General features: G+C 49.3%; 1 protein-coding gene across 2 annotated transcripts in view; it reads right to left on the bottom strand.

Annotated features, from left to right (window-relative positions):
- SHOX (SHOX homeobox) overlaps nt 8,423–25,310 on the bottom strand; it is a 35,068-nt gene continuing 18,180 nt past the window's right edge. Inside the window, exon 6 of one of the 2 annotated variants that reach the window (NM_006883.2) lies at nt 8,423–9,049. In NM_006883.2, coding sequence (NP_006874.1) covers nt 9,005–9,049 — 45 coding nt within the window. In that variant the 3' untranslated portion in view covers nt 8,423–9,004. Of the gene's footprint in view, nt 9,050–16,249; nt 23,444–25,310 lie in introns of those variants that run through there. The other variant, NM_000451.4, reaches the window with a different exon arrangement.

Below are 25,310 nucleotides of genomic sequence, written 5' to 3'. Positions count from 1 at the left end.
GGGGGGAGGTCAGGGGAGGGGAGTGGGGAGGGCAGGGGAGGGGAGGAATTCAGCACTTGAACGGTAAATGTAGTAGCCGCAGGGAATAAAATCAATTTCGTGGCATCATTGTGAGGAAAGAGGAAATAGGGTGTGTAGCCCCACGTAAACTTTGCACACAAAAAAATCCTGCATTTTCCCTTGTGCATATCAAACGCTTTGGCTTCCCATTCCATTCATTCTTGGCAAAATAAAACTTCCTGTTTTTCAGGAAAACAAGCAAGCCGAAGACCTTCTTTTGCCAGGGTTACAAACTGACGGAGAAATGTGGGCTCTGACTTCGGATGTGAGAAGCACTGGAGACCTTCGAACTTCACTGCCAAGTTCACGACCCCCCCAAAGACGTCTACGGTTTTGTTTGCAGGATGACAGTGTCCACGTATCAAAAAGATAGACATTCAGCTTCCCTTGGAATTCATAGGATTGCAAGACTCAAGAACAAAAAGTACTTGGGAAAGAGGAAAAAAAAAATGGGCTTGGAATTCCATTCAAGCCAAAACCATTTGAAAACAGTAAGAAGCATGAGATGTATCCAAAATGTGGCCGGCCCATCATTCCGTGGGCTGCCGAAAGAGACTTTTCCATGGTTCTGCTCCCAAAGATGATCCTCTTTCGGAATAAAAATGCTTTCACAGCAGGACTCTTCCTCACAGAGAGCCACGATGCAAATGTTTTCGTTGGTCCTTGCGTCTTCCGGCTGCAGCTCTGGGAGGCAACCGAAATTCTCTGCACCATTACTCCCCGTAAGAGTGTCAGCCGCAGAGAAGATGGAAAAGCAACAAATCCACAGCCGGAGAAGCCACCATCCTGATGGGCAAAACCCCGCAGGTCAGTTTCTTAGATTCCTGAGTCAGCCGTAACAAAGGACCAGGAATGACGATGCATGCCGCAGGAATTCATCCCCGTCAAGTCCTGGAGACCAAGAGTCTGAGGTCAAGGAGTCTCAGGACCATGTTCCCTCCAGAGGCTCTAAGGGAGGGTCCTTCCTGCCTCTCCCAGGCCTGGAGACCAGGAGTCTGAGGTCAAGGAGTCTCAGGGCCATGCTCCCTCCAGAGGCTCTTGAGGAGGAGACTTCCTGCCTCTCCCAGCCATAGAGACCAGAAGTCTGAGGTCCAGGTGTCTCAGGGCCATGCTCCCTCCAGAGGCTCTAAGGGAGGGTCCTTCCTGCCTCTCCCAGTCCTGGAGACCAGGAGTCTGAGGTCAACGTGTCTCAGGGCCATGCTCCCTCCAGAGGCTCTAAGGGAGGGTCCTTCCTGCCTCTCCCAGTCCTGGAGACCAGGAGTCTGAGGTCAAGGAGTCTCAGGGCTGTGCTCCCTCTGGAGACTCTAAGGGAGGATCCTTCCTGCCTCTCCCAGCTCCTGGGGGCTCCAGGCATCCCTGGGCTTGTGGCTGCATCACTCCAGTCTCTGCCTCTGTCTCCACGTGGCCTCCTCCTCTGTGTCTGTGTCTCCTCTTCTGTCTCTTAGAAGGACACCTGTCATTAGATTTATGGTCCACCCTAATCTAGGATGATCTCATCTCCAGATCTTCCACTTAATCACATCTGCAGAGACCGTATTTCCAAATAATGTCCCATTCACAGATTCCAGATGATCAATACATGGACAGGTCTTTTGAGGGGCCACGGTTCACTTCACTTCAGTTGTATCCAGTTCCTTCTGGAGGCTCTAGGGGAGGATCCTTCCTGCCTCTCCCAGCTTCTGGGTGCTCCAGGTATCCCTGGGCTTGTGGCCCCATCACTCCAGTCTCTACCTCCTTTCACAGGTTCTTGGGTTAGAATATGAACATATTTTTGGGGGGTACCATAGTTCAATCCACTTCAACCATAAGAAGTTCCCTCTGGAGGCTCTAGGGGAGGATCCTTCCTGCCTCTCCCAGCTCCTGGGGGCTCCAGGCGTCCCTGGGCTTGTGGCCGGATCACTCCAGTCGCTGCCTCCGTCTCCACGTGGCCTTCTCCTCTGTGTCTGTGCCTGTGTCTATGTCTCCTCTTCCATCTCTTAGGAGGACCGTAGTCATTAGATTTATGGTCCTCTTCTGTCCCTTACAAGGACACCTGTTATTGGATTTAAGACCCACCCTAATCCAGGATGACCTCATTTCAGATCCTTCCCTTAAAGACATCTGCAAAGACCCGGTTTCTACATCAAGTCCAGAAGCTTAGAGTCCTCATCCCATTCCTCCTGTGGAATTTGGCTATAGATGTTTTGAACACACCTCAACAAACGGTTATGGTGATGAACTGACACACTCCGAGTGGAAGGACCCAAGGTCTTCCACTGGGGCTACGCTTTTTGAGAATGAATTTGTTGTCCATGAAACGGCACCACCCAGGATCTGGAGAAGGTCTCCCTTAAGACAGGCTGTGAGCATGAGCTCTTACTAAAAACTCCATGAGCCTGGGCTGGGTGCAGTGGCTCACATTTGTAATCCTAGCACTTTGGGAGGCTCAGGTGGGTGGATCACAAGGTCAGGAGTTCGAGACCAGCCTGGCCAACATGGTGAAACCCCATCTGTACTAAAGATACAAAAATTAGCCAGGTGTAGTGGTTCACGCCTGTAATCCCAGCACTTTGGGAGGCCGAGGCAGGCGGATCACAAGGTCAGGAGATCGAGACCATCCCGGCTAACATGGTGAAACCCCGTCTCTACTAAAAATACAAAAAATTAGCCGGGCGTGGTGGCGGGCGCCTGTAGTCCCAGCTACTCAGGAGGCTGAGGCAGAAGAATGGCGTGAACCCAGGAGGCACAGGTTGCAGTGAGCCAAGATGGATCCATTGCACTCCAGCCTGGGGGACAGAGCAAGACTTGGTCTCAAAAACAAAGGAAAAAATTAGGCAGGTGACGGGCGCCTGTAATCCCAGCTACTCGGGAGGCTGAGGCAGGAGAATCACTTGAGCCTGGGAGGCAGAGGTTGCAGTGAGCCAAGATCGTGCCATTGCACTCCAGCCTGGGCGACAGAGTGAGACGCCATCTCAAAAAAAAATAAAAAAAATAAAAATAAAAAACTCCGTGAGCCTGACCCAGGCGCAGTGGCTCACACTTGTAATCCCAGCACTTTGGGAGGCTGAGGCAAGATAATTGCTTGAGGCTGGGAGATCCAGATCAGCCTCAGCAATATAACAGGACCCCATCTCTATGAAAATTTAAAAATGACACACCTGTAATCCCAGCTCTTTGGGAGGATTATTTGAGGTCAGGAGTTCGAGACCAGCCTGACCAACATGGTGAAACCCCGTCTCTACTAAAAATACAAAAAAAAAAATTAGCCAGGTGCGGTGGCGGGTGCCTGTAATCCCAGCACTTTGGGAGGCCGAGGCAGGTGGATCACGAGGTCAAGAGATCGAGACCTTTCTGGCTAACATGGTGAAACCCCATCTCTACTAAAAATACAAAAATTAGCCGGGCGTGGTGGCGGATGCCTGTAGTACCAGCTACTCAGGAGGCTGAGGCAGGAGAATCGCTTGAACCCGGGAGGTGGAGGTTGCAGTGAGCTGAGATTGCACCACTGCACTCCAGCCTGGGTGACAGAGTGAGACACTGTCTCAAAAATAAATAAATGAATAATAATTAAAATAAGAGAAAATGACAGACCCCATGACCCGCCACAACATTCTAAGCTCCATGCCAGAGGAGAAGGTGCTTTTCAGAAACAGACCAAGTGGATGAAGTTAAGAGGCAAAAATGTGAAGCCGAACGCTGCTCCGTGCAGAGAAAACTGGCAAAGGCCATTCGAACCGGTGGCAACGCGGTCCAAGCTCATCATTAACTTGCCCTGGACCTAGAGGTGTCAATTAGAAGGAGCATCGTATCACCCATCTTCCCCGTGGTTCTCCCAGCGTCATCCACGCCACCCGTCACACCGCCATCGGGAGCCTGGCTGGCCGGCTCTCTTAACTGCATTTTCCGCTCACGGTAAGAGATCTTGCAAAGCTGACTTTTTTTTTTTTTTTCTTTTTGCCTGGGGAGACGTCCCTTCTGAAAGAAGGAGGGTTTGCATTGGCTGGCTTCAGAAATATGATTGCCTCATTTCGCAGTCTACATATTTCTTAATATAAATGAACATGGCCTGCCTCGTACTTATAGGCTGAATGGGAAAAAAAAGTGCATATATATACATATGTGCATATACATACATATGTACATATATATACACACATATATACACTATATATACATATATACACACATATATACACAGATATACATATATACACAGATATACATATATACACATATATACACTGATATATATACATATATACACATATATACATATATACACACATATATACACAGATATACATATATACACAGATATACACTGATATATAAACATATATACACATATATACATATATACACACATACATACACTGATATATATACATATATACACATATATACATATATACACACATACATACACTGATATATATACATATATACACATATATACATATATACACACATACATACACTGATATATATACATATATACACATATATACATATATACACATATATACACACTATATACACATACACACAAATATATACATATGTCCACACATATATACATATAAGCAGACATATATACACTATATATATGCATATATACATATATACACATATATTTACATGTACACACACATAGATGCACATATATACACACTATATATACACACATATACACATATATACATATACACATATATTTACACGTACACACACACATAGATGCACATATATACACTATATATACACACATATACACATATATACATATATACACATATATTTACATGTACACACACACATAGATGCACATATATACACACTATATATACACACATATACACATATATACATATACACATATATTTACATGTACACACACACATAGATTCACATATGTATACACACGTATATACAGATATATACACACTATATATACCCACATATATACACATATACACACATATATTTACATGTACACACACACATAGATGCACATATATATACACACGTATATATACATATTCAGAGTAGGAGAGGTGTAGAGAGATGGGAAGCAGGTTAATGGTTGCCCAGGCTAAATGGAGAAACCTGAGACTGATGGCGGAATGGGCTTGCGGTTTCTTTTCAGCGTGATAAAAACGCTCTGGAGTCTAACAGATGGTTACACCCTGTTGCAAATATCCTAAAAGCTACTGATCACGGTTTCCTACGTTATATGAATGATGCTGTAACAACAACAACAAAAAAAGAAATTTAAAAAATGTTGTTAAGATCAGGCAGGGCTGTCTGCCTCAGAGTATCATTAATGAGGTCATTAGCACACATGAGTCTGGGGTTCTCCGTGACGGCTAAAATAACCCAGAAAACGCGTCTCGTGTTTCTCCATCCGTATTGAGAAACAGGATATTCTGCAAAGCTGTGAAGGTTCGAGACAGATGCAGACGGCACGGCCACCCAAACAGATGGGACGCTTGCGTGAACAACAGAGTGCTGGGAAGATTTTAAAAGGCAGGACCCTAAACTCAGGGGGTCGGCGAAGGCGACCTTCAGCCTCACGTTCCTCAACGTCCAAACGCCTGACATTTAAAACAGACATCCACACCTGTGCCACGTCCCCGAGAGCCACACTTTCAGAACGGCAGCTTCTGGGAACCCCAGAAAATAGGCACGGGGTCCCAGACACTCAAAGTGTCATCAGATAGGCATGAGGGAGATCCAATATCCCGTGGGATTTCTGAGACAATTTTAAGTTTGCTCTTTGTTATTTATTTATTTATTTATTTGAGAAGGAGTCTCGCTCTGTCGCCCAGGCTGGAGTGCAGGGGCGCGATCTCGGCTCACTGCAACCTCCACCTCCCAGGTTCATGCCATTCTCCTGCCTCAGCCTCCTGAGTGGCTGGGACTACAGGCACCTGCCACAGCACCTGGCTGATTTTTTGTATTTTTAGTAGAGATGGGGTTTCACCATGTTGGCCAGGATGGTCTCGATCTCCCAACCTCGTGATCCACCCACCTCGGCCTCCCAAAGTGCCGGGATGACAGGCGTGAGCCACCGCGCCCGGCCTTAAGTGTGCTCTTTGCAAATGGTTCTCCAAGGAAATATATATTTGGGACCTGGCTCTCTTTTCTTTCCTTTTTGCTTTTTGTTTTGTTTTCCGGTGTGTGTGGGTTTTTTGTTTGTTTCTTTGTTTTGTTTTTTGTTTTTGTTTTTTGAGACAAGGTTTTGCTATGTCATCCAGGCTAGAGTACAGTGGCTGGATCACGGTTCACTGCAGCCTCTACCTCCCAGCCTCCAGCAATCCTCCCACCTCAGCCTCCTGAGTAGCTACAACTACAGACATGCGCCACCGCGTCCGGCTAATTTTTGTGTATTTATTTTAGAAATGGGGTCTTGCTGGCCGGGTACGGTGGCTCACGTACAGGTGAGCTACAGGTGAGCTGCTGCAGGTGAGGTACAGGTGAGGTACAGGTGAGCTGCTGCAGGTGAGCTACCAGTGAGCTGCTACAAGTGAGCTACACGTGAGCTACAGGTGAGCCGCTGCAGGTGAGCTATACCTGAGCTATGGGTGAGCTGCTTCAAGTGAGCTGCTGTAGGTGAGCTACAGGGTATCACTAGTAGTCAGATGGCCTCTTGCTGCAGCATGGTTTCCAAGGAATATCACTTGCATTTACGTCAGAAAAGAAGAAGAAATGTGGGGCACAAACACAAAAGTTAGGTGCCACCATTGGTGGTGTTGGGACAGGCGTGGCCAATGTACCATCTACACTTAGAGTAAAATACTCTGGCCCCTCATGGTTCCTTAAGATGTAACAAACATCTCCATGTCATTCTTTCTGTAACACTGAGTAACCCATGACCCTTGTCCGTAGCCTGGAGAAAGGCTTTGGAAATCTATAACTTCTCAGCATTAACAATTACTTAGATATTCTGTTTACAAGACAAGAAGTTACAGATTCCCAAAGCATCTTCCCCATGCTCCCTCCAGAGACTCTTGGCGAGAAGAGATGGGGAGGGAGACTGGAGCAAAGTCCACTGCACCGTATTTTATGTTCCCTTCCAACCCCAGCCCTGCCCACCCCAATGGTCTCCTGAGTTCAGTATGATTTCATTATATTAATTAATTGATTAATTAATTGTTTTCAGACAAGGTCGTGCTCTGTCACCCAGGCTGGAGTGCAGTAGCTTGGAGAGCTTCTCAGCATTAACAAGTACTTAGACATTCTGTTGAGAAGCTTGCCTGGCCAAATGAAGCACCCTCAGTTTCTGGCAATTGGCTCACTCACGATTGAGAACAGGCTACAGACAAGAGGAGACATCCTTTCACTCTCCTTTCTCTTCGCTGGACGTCTCTTTTTCTCCTCAGAGTGCGGAAACTACCCACTTTCTGATTTCCTAAGACATGACGTCTGGCCGGGCACCGTGGCTCACGCCTGTAATCCCAACACTCTGGGAGGCTGAGGCAGGAGGATCATCTGAAGTCAGGAGTTCAAGACCAGCCTGGCCAATGTGGTGAAGCCCCGTCTCTACCAAAAAAATACAAACATTAGGTGGGTGTGGTGGCGGGCACCTGTAGTCCCAGCTACTCGGGAGGCTGAGGCAAAAGAATTTCTTGAACCTGGGAGGTGGAGGTTGCAGGGAGCCGAGATTGCACCACTGCACTCCAGCCTGGGCAACAGAGTGAAACTCCATCTTAAAAAAAAAAAAAAGAAGAAGAAGAAGAAGGCTGGACGCGGTGGCCCTCGCCTGTCATCCCAGCACTTTGGGAGGCCCAGGTGGGTGGATCACCCGAGGTTGGGAGTTCAAGACCAGTCTGGTCAACATGGAGAAACCCCGTCTCTACTACCAATAAAAAATTAGCCAGGTGTGGCGGTGGGCGCCTGTAATCCCAGCTACTTGGGAGGCTGAGGCAGGAGAATCGCTTGAATCCAGGAGGCAGAGGTTGCAGTGAGCCAGGATCACGCCACTGCACTGCAGCCTGCAACAGAGCGAGACTCCGTCTCAAAACAAAACTAGCCGGGTGTGGTGGTGTGTGCCTGTAATCTCAGCTACTCGGGAGGCTGAGGCAGGAGAATCGCTTGAACCCAGGAGGCAAAGGTTGCTGTGAGCTGAGATCATGCCACTAGCCTGGGCAACAGAGTGAGACTCTGCCTCAAAAATACAAATAAATAAATATAAATAAATAAAATTTAAAAACAACATGTATCTTTACACAGTGAGGGTAAGAAGGAATGAGAGATGGAGGTGGTGGTAATAACAATTAAATACATGAAATCAGGAGACTGCACACACACACGCGCGCACACGCACACACACCCTCAAACTGTACAATTAACAAAGAAAAGACGAGAACAGGAAGCTAGAACATCCACGTAACAGTCCTTTTTTTGGAGACCACGGGCAGTGGTTCATGCTTGTAATTCTAACACTTTGGGAGGTGGAGGTGAGAGGATCTTTGGAGCTCAGGAGCTCAAGACCAGCCTCAGCAGCAAAGCAAGATCCCGTCTCTAGTAAAAATCAAAAAAATTAGCTGGGTGTGGTGGTGGGTGCCTGTAGTCCCAGCTACTCAGGAGGCTGAGGTGGGAGGATTGCTTGAGCCCAGGAGTTTGAGGCTGCAGTGAGCTATGATCGCACCAGTGTGCTCCAGCCTGGGTGACAGAGCAAGACTCTGTCTTTCTTAAAAAAAAAAAAAAAATTAAAAATAAAGTTACAAAGGCCGGGCGCAGGGGCTCACGCCTGTCATCCCAGCACTTTGGGAGGCTAAGGCGGGTGGATCACCTGAGGTCAGGAGTTCGAGACCAGCCTGGCCAACATGGTCAAACCCCATCTCTACTGAAAATACAAACATTATCTTGACATGGTGGTGGGCACCTGTAATCCCAGCTACTCGGGAGGCTGAGGCAGGAGAATCGCTTGAACTCGGGAGGCGGAGGTTGCAGTGAGTCGAGATCATGCCATTATACTCCAGCCCGGGCGACAAGAGCAAAACTCCATCTAAAAAAAAAAAAAGGCCAAGTGCAGTGGCTCACGCCTGTAGTCCCAGCACTTTGGGAGGCTGAGGCGGACGGATCATGAGGTCAGGAGATCGAGACCTTCCTGGCTAACACGGTGAAACCCCGTCTCTACTAAAAATACAAAAAATTAGCCGGGCGCGGTGGCGGGCGCCTGTAGTCCCAGCTACTGGGGAGGCTGAGGCAGGAGAATGGCGTGAACCCGGGAAGAGGAGCTTGCAGTGAGCGGAGATCGTGCCACTGCACTCCAGCCTGGGTGACAGAGCGAGACTCCGTCTCAAAAAAAAAAAAAAAAAGAGTTCTTTTTGAGAACATGCCTTATCCTAATATTGCATGCAACTGCTACAAAAAATACTAACCATCAATGATAGGTCGACTTTTTCTTATTTTTATAAAATTACAACTCTAAAACCCATACACTGAGTCTGTCTATCTTCATGGTTTAAGGCTCAGAGAGAAAGCTGCTTTAATACCCGCTAAAAAGACCACCTGGGGCCGGGCGTGCTGGCTCATGTCTGTCATCCCAGCACTTTGGGAGGCCGAGGCAGGCGGATCACCTGAGGTCAGGAGTTCAAGACCAGCCTGGCCAACATGGTAAAACCTCATCTCTACTGAAAATACAAACATTAGCCAGGCGTGGTGGTGCACACCTGTGATCCCAGCTACTCGGGAGGCTGAGGCAGGAGAATCGCTTGTACCTGGGAGGCTGAGGTTGCAGTGAGCCGAGATCACGCCATTGCACTGCAGCCTGGGTGACAGAGTGAGACTCTGTCTCAAAAAAAGAGAGAGAGAGAGAGACCACCTGGAGAAGCTAAACTTCCAAAGTAATCCTCTTGGTATTCCCATATATGGCCTTCCAAAGGAAAACAGCAGTATTCATTTCCATCTGCCCCTTCCACTCGTCAAATAAATCAACCCAAATGTGTGGTCATACCCCATTTAGCTTCCTGAATGTGTTCCATTCAAACACATAATTTGCATGGGTGACATTTCTCTACTCTGTGTGTGCACGTCGTATTTTATCTTTTCCAACAATCGTTCAACTCGCTTCTGAGAAGGGCATCTTTTCAGACGGGTTACGGTTCCCTGGGGAAAGAGAAGGTTTTTGTACATCTTTGCATATGGCCAAATCCTCAGAGAGTGCATAGGAAACAAACCTGTGCTTTTATGATAAAACATACATCCTGTTAATTCACCTGTGTGTGGGGGTGTGGGGGGAGCAGGTTCTTTGTGCAGGTTCTTCTCTGAAAAAAACTGGTTCTTGTGATGTATTTTGTGTGGCTTTTGTCTTCTAGAAGGATGGGCAGCATTTTCTCACCATAACATCCACTCCCTTTAAATACATATCTTCCTCCCAAGGGTGCATTGTGATTCCAAGAATGTGGGACAGATACAGGAGCTTCCAGACAGACCCCATGCAGAGGCTGGAAGCTTTATTTAAACAGGCATCAGTGAGTAAATCTGCCCTGCAGTTACAGGGATGTGTTCTTCTGAATGGGGCTCAGAAACAGTTCCTCAGGTGGAAAACTCATTGGTTTTCTGAAGAGGTCACTGCACGATGCACTGATTTCTGTGTGAATTGCTTTCTTGGTTGTGGAGATGGCAGAAAGCTGAGGCTTGCTCTGTTGCCCAGGCTGGAGGGCAGTGGTGCAAACACAGCTTGGGCAGCATTTTTTTTTTTTTTGAGACGGAGTCTTGCTCTGTTGCCCAGGCTGGAGGGCAGTGGTGCAAACACAGCTTGGGCAGCATTTTTTTTTTTTTTGAGACAGAGTCTTGCTCTGTTGCCCAGGCTGGAGGGCAGTGGTGCAAACACAGCTTGGGCAGCATTTTTTTTTTTTTTTTGAGACGGAGTCTTGCTCTGTTGCCCAGGCTGGAGGGCAGTGGTGCAAACACAGCTTGGGCAGCAGTTTTTTTTTTTTTTTTTTGAGACGGAGTCTTGCTCTGTGGCCCAGGCTGGAGGGCAGTGGCGCGATCTCGACTCACTGCATGGTCCGCCTCCCAGGCTCACGGCATTCTCCTGCCTCAGCCTCCTGAGTAGCTGGGACTACAGGCGCCCGCCACCACGCCCGGCTAATTTTCTTTGTATTTTTAGTAGAGACGGGGTTTCACCGTGTTAGCCAGGATGGTCTCGATCTCATGACCTCGTGATCCGCCCGCCTCGGCCTCCCAAAATGCTGGGATCACAGGCTTGAGCCACCACAGCTGACTAAATGTTTTATTTTTTGGAGAAACAAGATCTCACTTTGTTGCTGAGGCTGGTCTTGAACTCCTGGGCTCAAGCAATTCCGCCTCAGCCTCCCAGAGTACCGGGATTACAGGCATCAGCCAGCACAGCTGGCTAAATTTTTGATTTTTTTGGAGAAACAAGATCTCACTTTGTTGCTGAGGTTGGTCTCGAACTCCTGGGCTCAAACGATTCTGCCTCAGCCTCCCAGAGTACCGGGATTACAGGCATGAGCCAGCACAGCTGGCTAAATTTTTGATTTTTTGGAGAAACAAGATCTCACTTTGTTGCTGAGGTTGGTCTCGAACTCCTGGGCTCAAGCCATTCTGCCCCAGCCTCCCAGAGTACTGAGATTACAGGCATGAGTCACCACAGCTGGCTAAATGTTTTATTTTTTGGAGAGACAGGGTCTCACTTTGTTGCCGAGGCTGGTCTTGAACTCCTGGGCTCAAGCAACTCTGCCTCAGCCTCCCAGAATACCGGGATTACAGGCATGAGTCACCACATCTGGCTAAATGTTTTATTTTTTGGAGAGACAGGGTTTCACCATGTGGCACGGGCTGGTCTTGAACTCCTGGGCTCAAGTGATCCTCCTGCCTCAGCCTCCCAGAGTGCTGAGATTACAACAAGCGTGAGCTACCACGTCCAGCCTAACTTGCTTTCCAATTTCTGAATTACAAATCCTGGTCTCCTTTCTCAGCGTGTCTTTTGGAAGTGCAGTTTTATGGGAAACACGGCAAACGCACTGCAGCTCTTTAAACACGAACAGATTGAGTTTGTTTCTCATTCAATACAACTTCCTTGGAAATCTTCAATACATGACAATTTCACTTTCCCAAGGGGAAAACCAGTAGATGAGCTGGTCACCCAGCAATTTTTGAAACTCATATATATATATATATATATATATATATATATATATATATATAGAGAGAGAGAGAGAGAGAGAGAGAGAGAGAGAGAGAGAGAGAGAGACAGAGAGAGAGTCCTTTTTGCTGAGGTTGGTCTCGAACTCCTGGGCTCAAGCAATTCTGCCTCAGCCTCCCACAGTACTGGGATCACGGGCAGGAGCCACCACAGCTGGCTAAATTTTTGATTTTTTGGAGAGAAAAGGTCTCACTTTGTTGCTGAGGCTGGTCTTGAACTCCTGGGCTCATGCCTGTAATCCCAGCACTTTGGGAGGCTGAGGCAGGCAGATCACAAAGTCAAGAGATCAAGACCATCCTGGCTAACACGGTGAAATCCCGTCTCTACTAAACATACAAAAAATTAGCCGGGCGTGGTGGCGGGCACCTGTAATCCCAGCTACTCGGGAGGCTGAGGCAGGAGGATTGCTTGAACCCAGGAGGTGGAGGTTGCAGTGAGCTGAGATGGCACCACTGCACTCCTGCCTGGTGACAGAGCAAGACTCCATCAAAACAAAACAAAAAAAGTTTCTGCCTGTATTTATTCATTTATTTAGAGATGTGGTCTCACTCTGTCAGCCAGGCTGGAGTGCAGTGGTGCAATCATGGCTTCCTGCAGCCTCCACCTCCTGGGATCAAATAATCCTCCTGGGCCAGGCGCGGTGGCTCACGCCTGTCATCCCAGCACTTTGGGAGGCTGAGGCGGGTGGATCACCCGAGGTCGGGAGCTCAAAACCAGCCTGGCCAACATGGGGAAACCTCGTCTCTACTAAAAATACAAAAGAAATTAGCCAGGTGTGGTGGCGGGCACCTGTAATCCCAGCTACTCGGGAGGCTGGGGCAGGAAAATCGCTTGAACCCGGGAGGCAGAAATTACAGTGAGCTGAGATCACGCCACTGCACTCCAGCCTGGCAACAGAGCGAGACTCTGTCTCAAAAAAAATTAAAAAACAAAAACAAAGTATCCTCTTGCCTGCTGAATAGCTTCAACCGTAGGAGAGCACCACCATGCCTGCCTAATTATTTGACTTTTTTTAATTGTTATAAAATGTTTATTCATTTTGTAATTTTTATTGGCTGCATTATATTTCAGCACAGGATGCCCAACAATGATTTATTCAATTTTTTATAGCCTTTTTAGAAATCAGTTTATTATACTGTCTTCTCAGAATACTTTCAAGGATTCTTCCATTGAATTGTTTTATAAGTTTATGCAAGTCCTTATGTGTTAGGTGAGTCTCTTGAAGGCACCAGCAGGCAGTTGATTGGTGAATTTTTTTTTAATTTTTTTATTATTATACTTTAAGTTTTAGGGTACATGTGCACAATGTGCAGGTTTGTTACATATGTAACAAACCTTTTTTGTAGAGATGAGGGTCTCGCTATGTTGCCCAGGCTGGTCTCAATCTCCTGGGCTCAAGGGATCTGGCTGTTTCGCCTCCAAAAGTGCTTTGATTACAGGTGTGAGCCACCGAGCCCAGCCTGTATTTTTCTTATTATGCTATAGTGCAAAAGTAACTGTGGTTTTGGCCACTATTGTTCATGACAAAAATTTAACTTTTAACTCTCAGCATCTGTGAGTTCAAACAAAAGAAATTAAAATACGTCTGTTTTGGGAAAACGTGTAGAGTAGACGACCGACACTATTTTTCTTGGCTCTCTTGCTTATGAGTTCAATATAGGCATGCTTGCAAAGTTTAAAACAACTTTTTTTTTTTAACGACAACTCCAAGAACAAAGGCTTTAGAAAGCTTATCTCCGTGTGTTTGGTCAGTGTTTTTGCTTTCTCTGCATTTTTCTTTAAATCCCTACATTGTCTGCTATTAAACATGAAAGTCTAACACCAACAGAAGCCTCAGAAACAGAAGGACATGTTAGCAGGAGGCGAAGTCCGTGGCTTTTTGTGTGTAATTTGGGAATCTGAGAACTGATGGTAAGAATCTGTTACATAAAAACTCAAAGATCTCATTCCTATTGAAACCGTGTCCGTGTGAAAAAGTTAATTTTTTTTTTTTTAAATGTGGTCAAGTCCAGAGAAGTCTGCAAGACAACCCATGGAAAAATCAGAAAGAAATTCAGGGCTGAGACACTTACTTTTCAGGTTGAACTATGCAAAAAAAATGAAGATCTGGAAGCGATATCCAGGAAGATTCCATTCATTTTTGAAAAACATTCTTTGTGATTGGCAACAAGCTATTTCTAAGGGAAAAGATCTCTCAAACCATTTGAATATTCTGTTCATTTTTGAAACAGATTCATTACAATTGGCAACAAACATCTATTTCTAAGGGACAGAGTCTCTCAAACCACGTAAAACAATAGGAGTGGATTTGCAGAACAAAGCTGAACGTTTTATTTTATTTAGTTCCTGTTATTTTATTTTATTATTCATTTTTTTGAGACAGCGTCTGGCTCTGTCGCCCAGGCTGGAGTGCAATGGCGCGATCTCGGCTCAGTGCAACCTCCGCCTCCTGGGTCCAAGCGATTCTCCTGCCTCAGCTTCCTGAGTAGCTGGGATTACAGATACACACCACCACGCCCGGCTAATTTTTGTATTTTTAGTAGAGATAGAGTTTCACCGTGTTGGCCAGGCTGGTCTCGAACTCCTGACCTCAGGTGATCCACCCGCCTCGGCCTCCCAAAGTGCTGGGATGACAGGCGTGAGAGCCACACTGCGCCCGGCCAAAGCTGAATAGTTTAACCATGAAATAACTGTGTGCATTCAGAACTTGCCTGCGTTTGCCCCTAAAAAACAGGCTGGAGATGGACGCGTTGAGGTCAGCCATGAAAAGCACCTCTGCTAACACGCAAAAAGCACCATTTTTCTTCTGTCCGGCAAGACACACACAGGCTGGGTGAAGAGAGGGCTCTGAGCTTCAGACCACGCAGGCCAGAAAAGGAAAGGAACGGTCAAGTTGCACTTTGCAGAATGGCCTGGACACACGGCCTCTGAAACCCCTTCTCTGGCCAAGAGAAGCTTTCAGGAACTACCAGGAGTCAGCAGGAAGAACGGACGGTACAGACAACGGACGGTTTAGACTCCAGGCAACTGGGGAGGTGTCGGAGAGGCTCACCTGTCCTCAGGCTCTGAGCCCCCCACAGAGAAAGCTCCCCCAGCACTGCCCACCCTGTAACCGCGGTGGGAACCCTGTGTGGGCAGCTGTGTCCCTCCCCCACTTCCCTCCCAGCTCACATGTGTTTTTTATCACAGCCGGGAAGCAGTCAGGCCGGCCAAATCCAATCATGAACTTTCCTTTACATAAAGAGAGAAAAATCTATGCAAAAAAAAAAAAAAAAATTTGTCATTTTTAAAAGTCGATTTCTTTTTCCATTTATTATTATTATATTTTTTGTCTCAAAAATGACTCAATCATCCTTGCAAGACCGTGCTGGAAAATCCGTGCCACTGTCGAAAACTGGAACAAAATAAAAGTTAAAAGCACACACATCACCGGCCGGGCCCAGACGCGGGTGGATCACGAGGTCAGGAGTTCGAGACCAGCCTGACCAACACGGTGAAACCCCATTGCTACTAAAAATACAAAAATGAGCCGGGCGCGGTGGTGCAGGTGACTGTCATCCCAGCTACTCGGGAGGCTGAGGCAGGAGAGTCGCTTGAACCCGGGAGGCGGAGGTCGCGGTGAGCCGAGATCGCGCCCCTGCACTCCTCCGGCCTGGGCGACAGAGCGAGACTCAGTCTCAAAAAAAAAAATAAATTAATTAATTAAAGAAAGTGGAGAATTAGCAGCTCTGACTTGATTCAAATCAGGGCTTTTTCCTCTGTTTTTTTTGCCACCTTCTGGGGGGACGTTGGCTGAGAAGCGGGGAGGTAGGTTTCAGTAAAGGAAGGGGATGGGATACAAGCAAAAGTCAATGGTACCTCCCGATCTAAGGCTGGGGGGCAACACTGGGTACCCACCCTGGAAATGCACGGAGCAGAACAACACTCTGTGTTCAGCCACGGCCGACTCAGGATTTTTTTTTTTTTTTTTTTTTTCCAATAAGCCTGTCCTCAGGGGAGAGGTTGAGAATTTTTTTTTTTTTAACACTTGAATACAAATATTTATAAGTTTATTTATATCTCAGTTTTACAAGATGTACATTCATACTACGGGGCGTCACAAAAATACAGTCTGTTGCTGCAACTCAACATTGAGATTATTGAACGTTAGGAGAATGAGGGCGTCACCAGAGAAACTCAGGGTGGTTTTTTTTGGTTTTTTTTTCTGTTTGTTTGTTTGTTTTTTTTCTACCCCTCACCGCCTGCCGACAATAACAGAGGGATAGAAATGTGAAGACTGTTGGTTTGGGAAACGGTGTGTGATTTGTTTTCATCTGAAGCAATCCCTGAAAATATCTGTAGATGTATTTGTAACCCGGACGCGGGGGCCGCTATGTCGTCAATGGGGGAGGGAAAAAGAAAAAGCAACAGTTTTCAGAAATATAAAAATAAATGCAACGCGATGTCAAATTTACACTCGACATAATTAAAATAGTACATATTTATGAACGTCCGACCAAGGAAAAAAAAATAAATAACAAATGCACATACATCACAAAGTAAGAAGCAGGGGCTTTTGCCTCCTTCCCACGGGACCTGCACGTACAATGGGCTGAACTCGTGAAGCCACATCCCCTTTCAATAAATAGCACATTTCATAGCTTTGAAACGGGATATTGTCTACATTCCTTAACCGGCTTCTCATTAAATATCAAATTTCAATAAAACATTTATAAATGGCATCAACTTACCCACGTGTGTCGAAGAATATCAGCATATACTCGCTAAGCTAATTCTCTTTAATAAATTAGGCACCAGTTTTTTTTTTTTTTTTTTTTTTTTTTTAATGTCAAACGTGTCCACCGAAAGCCTCTCTCCTCCCCAGACCTCCCAAAGCTGGAGGAGACAAGCGGCTTCCAGCAAAGTGCCTCCGAAATGTGTGTCGTGGGAGTGGCTGCCGTGTGCCATCCTCGCTATGTCCCCGGGAAAACTGTGGAGCTAAAGGGAGCTGGAGGCTTCTGCTTGTTCTTAGGGGAAAACAAATGTTAGAAAGGTCAGCATGAAACCCAGAGGCGAGGACAGAGGACTCTGGTATTTCCCTTTCATCCTGACCAGAGCTTGGCACCAAAACCTGAAACCCGTCTCGGCTTCATTTCGGTTAAACGCCCAGCTGTCCCCAGACTCTGCGGTATCCACAGATGCTCCCACGTGCTGACGTGGCCAAGGACAGCAGCAAGACCAGAACAGAAACTCAGGCTTCCAAGGAAATGGGACCATTTCGGGGGCCTGGCTGGACTTTGGCGGGATGGAGAGGCCATTCCTACGACAGGGCGTCTTTGGAGCGGCCCAAAGGCCTCCTTCCCGTACGGGAGACACCAAGCCCGTCGCACCACCAGCTTTGTAAGTGGAAAAACGGGTGTTGGACGCGGTCAGTTACGCTCTAAATCGTACAGAGGCACAGAATCTGTCCCATCTCTTTATCCACGGCGCTGGAGAAGACAGCCACAGCCAAGGGGCCCTGTCACCACTGCCTGTGAAACAACACCCCAACGGCCACCAGAGAAGGTGCATTTTTCTAACTCTTGGCAATTGCCAGGAACACACCTTTGCAAAGTATGCACCAGTCAGAGACTCGAACGGAGAAAGAAAATCTAATAGCAACATCCGATACATCCAATTCCTTCTCCCTGTGGGTGCTTCGCAGTCAGAGAGAGAGAAAAGAGAGAGAAAAGTGGATATGTCAGAAACAGATTTCACCAGAACAGCCACTCAAAGGAAGAAGTGTTTTTTGCTCAACTGCGGCGACTGACAACCCTCCACGGACTATTTGGCCAAGTTTTGGGGAGAGGAGGGAAGAAAATACGTATCAATCAGGACCCAACCCAGCATCGTTCAGTTCGGCCAGCAACGTGTTCCTATCAGTGTGCTGGAGCTGGTACGGATCTCACACACCAAATCCTCTCTCTGCAACGGCGTTACATCGGAACACAGCCCACGTTGCTCTCTGGGTGGTATTCCTTGCTCTGCGAGCGAGCTCACCGGGAAGCCACAGGGAAAGCAGGAACGTGACTTTCAAAAGAACCTTGTTTTGAGCAAAAAGCACCAAGAATCGCCAGCGTACACCCACCCCATAAATTCAATTTCTCACCTCCTGTGGAGAGACGTATGTTGTTTCCATGCTGAATGTTCACGCAAACGTGTCTCTGGAGGGCCTTCCGGGAAACCAAACCCACGCACATCACATACAGAGGGTCCCCATCAGCCCAGTCCTTCCTAAACATCTCAGAAAAAGAGAGAGGAGGCCGGGCGCGGTGCCTCACCCCGTAATCCCAGCACTCTGGGAGGCTGAGGCGGGTGGATCATGTGAGGTCAGGAGTTCAAGACCAGCCTGGCCAACATGGCGAAACCCGGTCTCTACTAAAAAATACAAAAATTATCCGGGAATGGTGGTGGGTGCCTGTCATCCCAGCTACTTGGGAGGCTGAGGCAGGAGAATTTCTTGAAGCCAGGAGGTAGAGGATGCAGTGAGCTGGGATTGCACCACTGCACTCCAGCCTGGGTGACAGAGTGAGACTTCATCGAAGAAAGAAAGAAGAAAGAAAAAGAAAGAAAGAAAAAGAAAGAAAGAAACAAAAAAGGAAAAGAGAAAGAAAAAGAGAGAAAGATAAAAAGGAAAGAAACAGAAAGAAAGAAAAGAAAGAAAGAGAGAAAGAAAGAAAAAGAAAGAAAGGAAGGAAGGAAGGAAGGAGAAGGGAGAGAGAAGAGGGCGTTGGTGGTGAGAACTGGTCACAGCCCAAGCTGAATTTCTTACTTCCTTCCATCCGAGAGTTTCAGGGAGAAAGAAGCAGCTAGCATACACGTACCCCACACTCATTCAGGGATCACTCATCCACCTACAGAAAGTCACCCAACTTCTCTCGCAGGAGAAAAGCCAAAGGCAGCCAGTGTCCACAGACACTCGTGTCCCACCCTCACAGTTCTCTGCGTTTGATCTGCTTCGGGGACCCATTTGTGAGGATGACACTTGGCCCTCTTTCCATATTAAATCAAACTGAAACCGTCCCCGCACAGTTGAGAGTCAGTAACTCCCTTTTAAAAGTTCAGATTCAGGCCAGGTGCGGTGGCTCACGCCTGTAATCCCAGCACTTTGCGAGGGACAAAGCGGGCAGGTCAACCTGAGGTCAGGAGTTTGAGACCAGCCGGGCCAACACAGCAAAAACCTGTCTCTACCAAAAATGCAAAAAAATTACCCAGGCCTGGTGGCAGGTGCCTGTAATCCCAGCTACTCGGGAGGCTGAAACCCTGTCTCTACTAAAACTACCAGAAAGTTACCCAGGCCTGGTGGCAGGTGCCTGTAATCCCAGCTACTCAGGAGGCCGAAACCCTGTCTGTACTAAAAATACCAGAAAGTTACCCAGGCCTGGTGGCAGGTGCCTGTAATCCCAGCTACTCGGGAGGCTGAAACCCTGTCTCTACTAAAAATACCAGAAAGTTACCCAGGCCTGGTGGCAGGTGCCTGTAATCCCAGCTACTCAGGAGGCCGAAACCCTGTCTCTACTAAAAATACCAGAAAGTTACCCAGGCCTGGTGGCAGGTGCCTGTAATCCCAGCTACTCGGGAGGCCGAAACCCTGTCTCTACTAAAAATACCAGAAAGTTACCCAGGCCTGGTGGCAGGTGCCTGTAATCCCAGCTACTCGGGAGGCCGAAACCCTGTCTCTACTAAAAATACCAGAAAGTTACCCAGGCCTGGTGGCAGGTGCCTGTAATCCCAGCTACTCGGGAGGCTGAAACCCTGTCTGTACTAAAAATACCAGAAAGTTACCCAGGCCTGGTGGCAGGTGCCTGTAATCCCAGCTACTCGGGAGGCCGAAACCCTGTCTCTACTAAAAATACCAGAAAGTTACCCAGGCCTGGTGGCAGGTGCCTGTAATCCCAGCTACTCGGGAGGCTGAAACCCTGTCTCTACTAAAAATACCAGAAAGTTACCCAGGCCTGGTGGCAGGTGCCTGTAATCCCAGCTACTCGGGAGGCCGAAACCCTGTCTCTACTAAAAATACCAGAAAGTTACCCAGGCCTGGTGGCAGGTGCCTGTAATCCCAGCTACTCGGGAGGCCGAAACCCTGTCTCTACTAAAAATACCAGAAAGTTACCCAGGCCTGGTGGCAGGTGCCTGTAATCCCAGCTACTCGGGAGGCTGAAACCCTGTCTCTACTAAAAATACCAGAAAGTTACCCAGGCCTGGTGGCAGGTGCCTGTAATCCCAGCTACTCGGGAGGCTGAAACCCTGTCTCTACTAAAAATACCAGAAAGTTACCCAGGCCTGGTGGCAGGTGCCTGTAATCCCAGCTACTCGGGAGGCTGAAACCCTGTCTCTACTAAAAATACCAGAAAGTTACCCAGGCCTGGTGGCAGGTGCCTGTAATCCCAGCTACTCGGGAGGCTGAGGCAGGAGAATGGCTTGAACCCGGGAGGCGGAGGTTGCGGTGAGCCGAGATTGTGCCACTGCACTCCAGCCTGGGGGACAAGATTGAAATTCCGTCTCTAAAGAGAAACGTTCAGATTCTACAGGGACCAGGTAGATGTCTTTCTACTCACGTGGAGTGAGCTTTTTCTTGGGAGGAAATGATGACACACTGTTATGTTTCGATTTTTCAAAATTACTCAGCCTTTTTGGTTAAAAAAAAAAAATCTAGGGCTGTACATATCTTACCAACCACTTTTCCAAAGGGTTACATACTCTGATGAATGAACCTACTTCCCAAAGATTCAAAATGCAATTCTTCTTTTCGATAAAAATTTCAGCTTAACTATTAAAGCCTCTCTCTCTCTTTTTTTTTTTTAATTTCCAGCTTTTAAGAAAAATGGATGAATGAGGCAAACTCTCTAATACCGTTAATGTCTGGGATTCTTTCTCTCTCTCTCCGTCATTTTACAGCGGTTGTAACATTTTGACATAAAAAATGTTGAAGGGGACTTTTGGTTTGTATAAAGAATATCAGAAGATACAAATGAGACGGGTCCAAATGGATCTACAGTTCAGCTCAGTGACAAGATAGAAAGTGTTATGCGGAAGAAAAAAAGAAGTTGTTTTTTTTTTTCTTTTATCCCCACCTCAGGGAGAAGTATCTAAATCAGAAGTTAGGAAAGAAAACCACCAAGCTTGAATCCAGAAAGATGCAAATGTGTTATGGAAATAAGAGAGTTGACCAGTGGATGTTAGTAAATGTTGGGAGAAGATAGTTTCTCTCTGGGCAGGCTGTGGTAACTAATGCCAATCATGCAGATGGATCTTCTCGGAGGTCACCAAACCCCTTGCTGTGTTCCCAGAAAACCAATCAGAACATGGAACGTGGATCTCCCGAAATCTGGGGGCAGAACCCTTGAATGTTTTTGGTTAGGTCATTTCAAGCAACTGTCCAGCCCATGCCAGCTGTGACGACAAGTTGCTATCTGCTGTTTATAAAACTGGGGGCACGTTGGGAGGCCGAGGCGGGCAGATCACCTGAGGTCAGGAGTTCGAGACGAGCCTGGCCAACACGGTGAAACCCCGTCTCTACTATAAATACAAAAAATTAGCCGGGGGTGGTGGCAGGTGCCTGTAGTCCCAGCTACTCGGGAGGCTGAGGCAGGAGCATCGCTTGAACCCGGGAGGCGGAGGTGGCAGTGAGCTGACATTGCGCCACTGCACTCCAGCCTGGGCGACAAAGCAAGTCTCTGTCTCAAAAATAAAAAACAAAGAAATAAAAGAACTGGGGGAACGCAGAAGATGGAGTAGGGGAGAAAGAAAAGCTGGAACCACCTACATCTGCAAAAACTTGAAAACTCTCTGGATCTCTCCCTGGCTTTTACGCTTCCCAACCAGAAACAGCTCAGGTACCAAACTGATATCTTGGCACCACCGTGCCCTCTTTTATCCCCTTCAGAAACACAACCACACTCCCAGCGCGCCCAGGGCCATCTCTACACCCGTGATTTTTGCAAAGGGCCCTCAGTGGCCAGGCGGCCAGCGCTGGGAGAAGAGGTAACGCCTTTTCCACGTTGGACGCTGACGGGGTCAAGAGTGCACGGCTATTTTTTTTTTAATCTATAATATTTATAATATTGCACTTCACTCCATGTCAGTAAAGTTAATGCTGCATATCAGTATGACACCTTGCAACCACGCGTCCGTCTCTTATGCAAGTCTTTTGCGTCTGAATCCTGTAACACAGCAAAAAAAAAAAAAAAAAAAAAAAAAAAAAAAAATACCAATCCAAAACAAAACCAGACCCAATTTGGGAATCAAACACTGGAAAAGTTATAAAGTCGGTCCTCATTCAGGTCCCCGGAACGTGGGAGTCCCAACGTGGGAGGTTCGGGTCTCCCTCCCCTCCCTTTCCAAAGCCCGCGGTTCACGTCCTCAGCCTCAGCCAGAGAACTATTTCCTTATTGCTGCCTGGGAGGCTCCGGGGGAGCGGTGGAGGAGAGCCCGGCCCCTGCCTCCTGGGATTCCGAAGTCCACATTCAAATCCACACCCGTTCCGCAGCCTCTCGGGATGAAGGAAGGAGCATGGTAGTAAAGAAAATCGTTGGCAACGAAGAAATGGCATTTTCATCGGAGACCAGCTCCGGGATCTTTGCAGTTTCAATAGACTCTAAGGATCTTCCAAACGTGTGTAGTTAACCGCATGCATAGGGTATAGCAGAGGAAGACGCAGCCAGGCGGGGGTTTACCCTTCTCCAGGGTCCCAGGACGCACGGGCAGCCTTGGAGAGGCCCGGGCTGGACGCACGGCCGCTCACCCGCTCCGCCTTCTGCACCATCTCCGCGAGGGTCTGGCTGGGTCGTGCGTGGACGGTCCCGGGAGCCTCCCTCCTCAGGCCTCTTGCAGGAGCTCCCGGGGTGCCCGGAGCACGGTGGCCGCGGAAGGAGCTCCAGGCGGGGTTGAGTGCAGGACGCGCGGTGCAGGCGGGGTGCGCGGAGCCCGGGAGTCCGGGCGCGCGGGGGGCTGCGCGGCGGGTCAGAGCCCCAGGGCCTCCGCGTGCTTCCGCGCCTTGAGCCGCAGGTCGGCGATGCTGGAATTCTTGCTGTTGCTTTTGGCGGCGGCGGCGACCACGGCGGCGGCCGAGGCGGACTCGGCCAGCGACGCGATGGGCAGCCCGAAGGGCGGCGGGGGGAACATCAGGTAGGGCGCGTGCGCCGCCAGGTGCGGGTGCAGGTGCGGGTGCGCGTGGGCCACGCCTTCCAGCTGCAGCTGAGCCTGGACCTGCGGGAGCGGACCCGGCGGGGTGAGGGCGCAGGATGGGGACTGGGGGGCCTGCTCCGCCCCGCGCCCCCGGAAACCTCCAACGTGCCTCTTCTCCCCTAGGGAGCGTCGCCCCTTCTCCAGCCGTGGAGACCACCCCACACCCGCCTTTCCTCCTTCCCCCTGGCCCAGAATTGGCGCTGCCACTGGATGCATCCGCGGGAGCCGGGCCAGGGGAATCCGAACAGCTCCCTGCAAAGCGCATGGGAGGGGGGTCCACAAATGGAACGCCCTCAGGGGGAGCTCCCGATGCGCTCTCTTCGCAGGGATTCAGGGACTTTGGCTCACAACGTTCTCTCCCCCAACCAGCCCCCGTAACCTCTCCCGGGGACACCAGGTCCCCAAGCCTCTCCCGGGTCCCCAGGTCACCAAGGCTCTCCCGAGACACCAGGTCCCCAAGCCTCTCCAAGATCACCAGGTCCCCAAGCCTCTCCAAGGTCACCTGGTCCCCAAGGCTCTCCCGGGACACCAGGCTCCCAAGCCTCTCCCGGGACACCAGGTGTCCAAGCCTCTCCCGGGTCACCAGGTCCCCAAGGCTCTCTCCCGAGACACCAGGTCCCCCAGCCTCTCCCCAGGACACCAGGTCCCCAAGGCTCTCCCGGGTCACCAGGTCCCCAAGCCTCTCCCGGGACACCAGGTGTCCAAGCCTCTCCCGGGTCACCAGGTCCCCAAGGCTCTCTCCCGAGACACCAGGTCCCCCAGCCTCTCCCCAGGACACCAGATCCCCAAGGCTCTCCCAGGACACCAGGTCCCCAAGCCTCTCCCGGGACACCAGGTCCCCAAGCCTCTCCCGGGTCACTAGGTCCCCAAGGCACTCCCGAGACACCAGGTCCCCAAGCCTCTCCAAGGTCACCAGGTCCCCAAGGCTCTCCCCAGGACACCAGGTCCCCAAGGCTCTCCCGGGTCACCAGGTCCCCAGGCCTCTCCAAGGTCACCAGGTCCCCAAGCCTCTCCTGGGACACCAGGTGTCCAAGCCTCTCCCGGGACACCAAGTCCCCAAGCCTCTCCCGGGACACCAGGTCCCCAAGCCTCTCCCGGCTCACCAGATCTCCAAGCCTCTCCCAGGACACCAGGTCCCCAAGCCTCTCCCAGGACACCAGGTCCCCAAGCCTCTCCCCAGGACACCAGGTGTCCAAGCCTCTTCCAGAGACACCAGGTCCCCAAGCCTCTCCTGGGACACCAGATCCCCAAGGCTCTTTCAGGACACCAGGTCCCCAAGCCTCTCCAAGGTCACCAGGTCCCCAAGCCTCTCCCAGGACACCAGGTCCCCAAGGCTCTCCCGGGACACCAGATCCCCAAGGCCCTCCCGGGTCACCAGGTGTCCAAGCCTCTTCCAGAGACACCAGGTCCCCAAGCCTCTCCCAGAACACCAGGTCCCCAAGCCTCTCCCAGAACACCAGGTCTCCAAGCCTCTCCAAGGTCACCAGGTCCCCAAGCCTCTCCAGGGACACCAGGTCCCCAAGCCTCTCCCAGGACAACAGATCTCCAAGCCTCTCCCAGGACACCAGGTCCCAAAGGCCCTCCCAGGACACCAGGTGTCCAAGCCTCTTCCAGAGAAACCAGGTACCCAAGCCTCTCCCGGGACACCAGGTCCCCAAGCCTCTCCCGGGGATACCAGGTCCCCAAGTTTTTCCCGGGGACACCAGGTCCCCAAGACTCCGGTGCGCAAAGCCAGGCAGGCCTGCGGGCTCCAACGGCCTAATTTCACTGGGTCCCGCCGTCGGCAAAAGACGGTACAAGAAGTAGGCTCGTTCCCCCACCTCAAGGCCAGGTACCCAGGAGAGGAGAACCGCGGAGGGATGCGGACCCCTCTCCTTCGGGCCTGGGC

This window comes from Homo sapiens, chromosome X, assembly GCF_000001405.40.
Source record: "Homo sapiens chromosome X, GRCh38.p14 Primary Assembly".
In the NCBI taxonomy this organism is placed as follows: Eukaryota; Metazoa; Chordata; class Mammalia; order Primates; family Hominidae; genus Homo; species Homo sapiens.
Note: the sequence above shows the minus strand (reverse complement) of the source record. Positions and strands in the feature narration are given on the sequence as shown.